This window comes from Homo sapiens, chromosome 7 (genome assembly GCF_000001405.40).
Source record: "Homo sapiens chromosome 7, GRCh38.p14 Primary Assembly".
Lineage (NCBI taxonomy): Eukaryota > Metazoa > Chordata > Mammalia > Primates > Hominidae > Homo > Homo sapiens.
The window spans coordinates 120,896,706-120,902,890 of record NC_000007.14 but is presented as its reverse complement, the minus strand read 5'-3'; the positions used below and the strand labels follow the sequence as shown (position 1 = coordinate 120,902,890).

Here is a 6,185-nt window from a genome sequence, read left to right as displayed (position 1 = left end):
TAATTGGGGCATTTAGCCCATTTACATTTAAGGTTAATATTGTTATGTGTGAATTTGATCCTGACATTATGATGTTAGCTGGTTATTTTGCCCATTAGTTGATGCAGTTTCTTCCTAGCATCGATGGTCTTTACAATTTGGCATGTTTTTGCAGTGGCTGGTACCGGTTTTTCCTTTCCATGTTTAGTGCTTCCTTCAGGAGCTCTTGTAAGGCAGGCCTATTGGTGGTGAGAAAATCTCTCAGCATTTGCTTGTCTGTAAAGGATTTCATTTCTCCTTCACTTAGGAAGCTTAGTTTGGTTGGATATGAAATTCTGGGTTGAAAATTCTTTTCTTTAAGAATGTTGAATATTGGCCCCCACTCTCTTCTGGCTTGTAGAGATTCTGCAAAAGATCTGCTGTTAGTCTGATGGGCTTCCCTTTGTGGGTAACTTGACCTTTTCTCTGGCCGCCCTTAACATTTTTTCCTTCATTTCAACCTTGTTGAATCTGACAATTATGTGTCTTGGGGTTACTCTTCTCGAGGAGTATCTTTGTGGTGTTCTCTGTATTTCCTGAATTTGAATGTTGGACTGCCTTGCTAGGTTGGGGAAGTTCTCCTGGGTAATATCCTGAAGAGTGTTTTCCAACTTGGTTCCATTCTCCCCGTCACTTTCAGATACACCAATCAAAAGTAGATTTGGTCTTTTTGCATAGTCCCATATTTCTTGGAGGCTTTGTTTGTTTCTTTTTACTCTTTTTTCTCTAAACTTTTCTTCTCAATTTATTTCATTCATTTGATCTTCAATCACTGATACCCTTTCTTCCGCTTGAACGAATCGGCTGCTGAAGTTTGTGCATGCGTCACGTATTTCCCATGCCATTCTCCATCAGGTCATTTAAGGTCTTCTCTACACTGTTTATTCTAGTTAGCCATTTATCTAATCTTTTTTCAAGGTTTTTAGCTTCCTTGTGATGGGTTTGAACATCCTCCTTTAGCTCAGAGAAGTTTGTTATTACCGACCTTCTGAAGGCTCCTTCTGTCAACTCGTCAAAGTCATTCTCCATCCAGCTTTGTTTCATCGCTGACGAAGAGCTGCAGTCCTTTGGAAGATAAGAGGCACTCTGGTTTTTAGAATTTTCAGCTTTTCTGCTCTTGTTTCTCCTTGTCTTTGTGGTTTTATCTACCTTTGGTCTTTGATGTCGGTGACCTACAGATGGGGTTTTGGTGTTGATGTCCTTTTTGTTGATGTTGATGGTATTCCTTTCAGGTCCCTCAGCTGCAGGTCTGTTGGAGTTTGCTGGAGGTCCACTCCAGACCCTGTTTGCCTGGGTATCACCAGCGGAGGCTGCAGAACAGCAAATATTGCAGAACAGCAAATATTGCTGCCTGATCCTTCCTCTGGAAGCTTCGTTTCAGAGGGATACCTGCCTGTATGAGGTGTCAGTCAGCCCCTACTGGGAGGGGTCTCCCAGTTAGGCTACACGGGGTCAGGAGGAGGCAGTCTGCCCATTCTCAGAGCTCAAATGCCATGCTGGGAGAACCACTGCTCTCTTCAGAGCTGTCAGACAGGGACGTTTAATTCTGCAAAAGTTTCTGCTGCCTTTTGTTCAGCTATGCCCTGCCCTCAGAGGTGGAATCAACAGAGGTAGCAGGCCTTGCTGAGCTGTGGTGTCCTCCACCCAGTTTGGGCTTCCCTGGCTGCTTTGTTTACCTACTCAAGCCTCAGCAATGGCGGACGCCCCTCCCCCTGCCAGGCTGCTGCCTCACAGGTTGATCTCAGACTGCTGTGCTAGCAGTGAGCAAGGCTCTGCCAGCATAGGACCCTCCGACTCAGACATGGGATATAATCTCCTGGTGTGCCATTTGCTTAAACCATTGGAAAAGCAGTATTTAGGTGGGAATGTCCCATTTTTCCAGGTACGGTATGTCACAGCTTCCCTTGGCTAGGAAAGGGAAATCCCCGACCCCTTGCACTTCCCAGGTGCGGTGATGCCCCCCCCGCTTTGGCTTGCCCTCCATGGGCTGCACCCACTGTCCAACCGGTCCCAATGAGATGAACCATGTACCTCAGCTGGAAATGCAGAAATCACCTGTCTTCCGTGTCAATCATGCTGGGAGCTGGAGACCGGAGCTGTTCCTATCTGGCCATCTTGGAACGGACCACCTATGCTTTCATTTCCTGTGTCCTGCAAATAAATTTAAGAAAAGTTATTTAAGACCAAAATAAGTTTAACAGATATATAGCTAATTCTCAGACTAATTACACCAAGGGAAATTGTGACCCTGAGGTAAACATAATGGAAAACACTCTTCAGAAAATACTCTTCAGAACTGCTCTGGTTCTTGGGAAGTGGCCTATTTCTATGAAATAGGCACTGCATCTAAGAATGGTGAAGCTGAGTTTAGAGAAACTAACTTATCAACATCCCTAACTCATAATGAAGTAAGCAGAGACGAGTGTCCAAGGAGTTCAACTGCAATGCCCATACTCTTAACCAATTCCCAGTACCTGTACCACAGGATTACAGTCCCTCAACAAGTCATGGCATTGAAGGAAGATAATCCAGAGAGGGCTACCCTTGCAGCTTTGGGGGCCAAAAATGCAATTCCAGGTGATTTTAACCATCTGCAAGTTCTTGAGACTGCCACTAAGAGGAGTGAGGAAATGTTTATAAAGTTTTATTTTATTTTATTTTATATTTACCTCTGGCTATAATAGCTGGTTTTTGTGAGCCAGGGGAAAATGAAGGAGAGGTACCAAGGTCATAGGAAAGAATGGAGTGAGTGAGGGGAAAACCTTATGAAGTTTATATTATTGTAAGCAGATTCACTTTTTTCTTTTAATGCACAAGATCTTAAAGAAAAAGAAGAAAAAGAACCAACACCTATTAATCAGCATTACCAAGCAGTCAGCTATGTGCTTTATGTACCTTATTTCACTTAAAACTTGCATTAATCCTACAGCGATGCTCAGTCAGGATAAGGTAGGTTATCCTGTAGAAGCCAATCTCAGTAGCTTAAAATAGAAGATTTACAGATACAGGTGATTCTCATAGGCACTTGTCCTTCACTGGTGGCACAGCCTTGCAGGTCTATATGATATCAACACATGCTTCCAAAATTGTTCGAGAAAAGAGACATTTCTGTAAAGTTTCACAATGCCAATTAATGCCTCTTTCCAGAAATGACATATTACTTCCACTTATACCTCATTGCCCAAAACAAGTTATGGCATCATGCATAAACTCAATGGGGAAGAGAATAACATTCCTTCGTTTTGGCTCAAGGCATGAGAGCCAGAAATACTGGTGAGCAGCACGATGTCTATCACAAAATGTGGCTTCCTACTTTGAAGGTGAAGAATATCAGATTGAGAGAAACATTTAACAACTTGGGCAAAATCACACTGCTCATTAATGCCATATTGGAATGCAAAGACCCCAAATTTATGTTCTTTCCATTGCATCATGTCACTTCACATATATTTTCTTTCATATTTGTATTAATGTAACACACAAAGCAGGTACATTCCCTGCTTCAATCAATGCAGAAGTGAGCATAATAGCTTATTTCATAGCCAGATAAACAGAAGTGTACCAGTTATTGTAAGAACCACTAATATTATAATTATGTACTTTGAAATGAGTCATTCTTATTCACTATTGATAGTGAGATAAGATACTTTCAATTTTGTTGTATTGGTTGTATTTTTTATTTTTTTATTTTTTTGTTTTCTAAAGGACTTTGCAGTCATGCCTCCTGAACCAACCTCTGTTGAGCACTTACAGCATAGTAAAACTCACGGCAGGCAGTTCAAAGGAAGTACCCCAATTAGGCTAAGAACATTTTCCAGAGTCAAGGAAGCCTGCACATTTAGAGCATGGTCTATGGATCAGTGAAGACAGTAGTTCAAAGGGACTAGTCAGTTTAGTAAAATAAGTACCCTGGTTACGCATTAAATTTGCCTCTGTAAATAAAGTACAGTGAGTTTCCCTTTGATCTTATGAAGATAGTTCAGTATGCTATACATAGCACAGAGATGAAAGTAGATGAGGCTGCTTAGAATGAAATACGCCACCAAGTGATATAAAGCTTTCAAACGCTTCTGAGCAGAAGCAGAAATAATCTTACAAGTAATGTCCTTGCTTTGCAATATTTTCATTGGGCATTTGGCATTAATTTCAGGTTATTTTTTATCATGAGTAAACAATGTTTGCTGCAGGAAATGTTATAAAAATGAGGTGTAAATATGATCAATGATTTATGATAGGCTGCCTCTATCTGTTTTCATTTCTTTAAAATTCTATCTATCTTTCATATTATTTCATCAAGAATCCCTTGTCAATCTCCTCTCTGGCCAAGACATTAATTTTTTTTAATTTAATAAAAATACCTCTATATCCATATATTTTCTCTTTCACTAGCTGGCTGGCATGACTTGTCTTACTATTGATAGAGGGTGGTGCATTAAAAAATGGAAAATAAGGGGAAGTATGATTACTATATTTTCTATTTCAGTGGCCCACTGCTAGCTTCTGGTAGCTTTCTTCTGATGCATATCCTTCCTCAAATGTCAAGTGTTATCCTAGTTTTGAATAAATCCAGGCCAAGGTTTTTGCTAGTAGTTAGCTTTTATTCTGGGGACTAGCATTTTAATAGAGGATTTGAATCCTAAGGAATGGATTCCTGTTGGAGGAACTTTTAACACAGATAATACGTGGAGGGTCAGAAGTAGGTGGGATAGTGTGCACCAACTGCCTCCCACTGCCATTCATTTCACCTGTTTGGAAAGCTGACCCTGGTTTAGGGATACAGATAGTATGTAAAATAATTCTTACTCCTCCTTTGTAGCAGTATAATTTTATAGTCTGTGTTAAAAGTTTATTGAAAAAAAACCCATTTTTTAAAAACCCCAAATTATTTACTTTTAGTATTTACATGATTGCATTTTCCTTTGACAAATCTTGAAAAGTACCTATTTTTTTAATTGGATCATTATCATAGCAATGTTTTCCATTTTTTGTTTAGAACTTATTTTTAATAAATTATGTTCATACTTGACAATATGCTTCCTGAGGTTTAAAATACATTTATATGTTTTTAAAATCAGGAGAAAATTATACATGGATAAATGCAGAACTATATTTCTGTATCTGCAAGCCAGATATGGTAGGCAGAATGATGGCCACCCAAGTATCCCTGTTCTAATTCCTGGCATCTGTTACCATACATGAATAAAGGGACTTTGAAGATGGGAGTTAATCTTGAGGACCTTGAGATCCAGAGATTATTCTGGATTATCCAGGTAGGCCCAATCTAATGTCATGAATCCTTCAAAGAACCTTCTGGATAAAGAGAGAATCAAGGGAAGAATGTCACAGAGATGGAAGAAGGCGCCACAATACAACACATAGAGACTGCCTCTACCAACTGAAAAAGACAAAACAATGGATCATCCCTAGAGTAGTCCTGCCGACATCTTTATTTTAAACCAGTGAGACCTGTTAGCTTTCTGACCTCCAGATTTTTAAGATGATGCATTTGTATTGTTTTAAGCCACTGAATTTGTGGTAGTTTGTTACAGCTACAACAGAAAAACAATACATGGGCCTACCACCCCAAATGTACCTGATCTTGAAAGCTAAGCTGGGTCAGGCCTGGTTAGTATTTGGATGGAAGTCCAAAAAAGGCTCTTGAGACTCAGAAAAATAATACAGATTTTGATTACGAATGGGGTTTGAACTCATGCAGCACACAATATACTGGGTATTAACTTTAACTAGAAAAAAATAAATGTGTAGGAATACAATTTAATAACAATTTGGAAAAATAAAGCTACCTACATAATTTCATTTAATGACTTTTTGTGTATAGGAGTTTTTATTCAAAATGAAAAGAGCTTTATTGATTTTTCTAATTATATGCATATCATATGAACACTGATTCACACAGAAAGAAACAAACAGAGTTTGTTTTTGACTTTCTATGTCAAAATCTTATTAAGCCATTTGAAACATTAGTATCTTGAGAGATCTGCCATTAACATTTTGATGACCTGATGGAAACTGAAAACATTCTGTTCTCATTCCCAGTTGATATTTCAGTGAGTTTAGACCACTAGATTGGTAATAATTTTCTGTCAGGATTTTGATATTATTGTTTCATTTTTCTTTTGGTTATACTGTCTCCCTTCCATGTTATA

The 6,185-nt window shown here is 39.0% G+C and overlaps 1 long non-coding RNA gene across 1 annotated transcript in view; it reads right to left on the bottom strand.

Annotated features, from left to right (window-relative positions):
- Positions 1 to 750: 750 nt before the first annotated feature.
- Positions 751 to 6,185, bottom strand: part of LOC124901733 (uncharacterized) — a 45,306-nt gene continuing 39,871 nt past the window's right edge. Inside the window, exon 2 of the long non-coding RNA XR_007060491.1 lies at positions 751 to 2,169. This is a non-coding gene — a long non-coding RNA (uncharacterized LOC124901733). The remainder of the gene's footprint in view (positions 2,170 to 6,185) is intronic.